The sequence below is a fragment of the Homo sapiens genome, chromosome X (genome assembly GCF_000001405.40).
Source record: "Homo sapiens chromosome X, GRCh38.p14 Primary Assembly".
NCBI lineage: Eukaryota > Metazoa > Chordata > Mammalia > Primates > Hominidae > Homo > Homo sapiens.
In genome coordinates this window covers 109,284,790-109,286,224 of record NC_000023.11, presented here as the reverse complement: position 1 = coordinate 109,286,224, position 1,435 = coordinate 109,284,790, and positions in this window count along the sequence as shown.

Here is a 1,435-nt window from a genome sequence, read left to right as displayed (position 1 = left end):
TAAATGATGGGAAAGACCATTTGGCTGCCTGAAGAAAAAGCATTCCAGGCAGAATATACTGTTTTGGAAAAATTTCAGAAGTCGAAGTGTGATGTGCCTGCAGGGAATCTAAAGCAGGTGTGTCTTCACACATGAGGTGTAAACATAAAGTGATTAATATGACTTGTTTTCATATAAACATATCAGAACTTTATTTCCCAATAAGTGTTCTCTTAGAAGCAGACTTAGATTCCTAATATTCTCCTTTGAAACATAGCTTTGAACATTCTCTCTGGCCTGGCCTTCAGACACAAATGTGCAAACTATGTGCATTAATTTAAGACAGAAAGTGGAAAGAACTAGCGGGGATGTAGCAAAGGCCTGAAGCCTGGAATAAGACTCACAGCTTCTTTGCTGTCACCTCTGAGGATTGCCCGGGAAGCTACAGAGGTTCTCTCTATACCAATAAGGTAAATGAAGCCATCTTACTTGATTAAAGGTGGTGAGACTTACATGGCCCTGGGATCTCCCAGGTCTAACTCCCTCTTTTCCATGTTTAACTTGAGTTGTTGGTGAACCATCCTGCCAGAGTTAGTTTGCATATGGAGAAATAAATGGAGTTAGATAAAAAGCATTTACACTTTCTACCATTAATGAAATAGACTCCATATGACCAGATGAATTCAATCTAGGTCTTAATGGATACACAGAAAAAGCAAGAGACCTGTCAGAGGGAGTGTGATACAAAACTGAATAGATAGGTGTTCTTGGGTGGTCCAACATGTCTGAGGCAAACTGGGTCAGAACTGTTATCTTGGAAGCCCATTCAAATAGCTTGGTAAGGTATATGGGGTCTGTTCTATCAGAAGCTTCAGAGAGATTAACAGGTATAAAAATACACAACTGTAATTCAGATTTAACAATAAAAAAGTGTATGGGAAAATTACACATAGTCTGGGATGGAGCACTGGTAAGGGATCGGGGGTACTCAAATGATGTAGGACAGGATCCAGGATGCTGGGGCTTGTGAATTTATACTTTGTGAGTATAAACAATGTTGCTACAGGAACTTAAAGTTAAAAGCATAAAAAAAGATGAGTTAAGGGTGTCAATGAATCAGTTGTTAATGTTAGTTAAAAATTAAGGAGGAAGAATGACATATATTTATTAAGGACTCAATAAATATGCTAAGTTCTTCAAATATATTGCTTCAAAACAAGCCTATGAGTTAAAGGTTATTGTATCCATTTTAATGATGTAGAAACCAAAGATCAGAGAGGTAAAGTAAATTGCCCAAAGATACAGAGTGGTAATTGGCAAATCCAGGTTTGAAGATAGAGCTCACTGACTCCAAAGTTCACGCTCTTTTTTAGTATATTTAGTGACTCTTTAAGGATGAGTGCATTTGGGTGTGCACACAGAGAAGAAAGAGCTAGAAGAAAATGGTGTTGAAAAA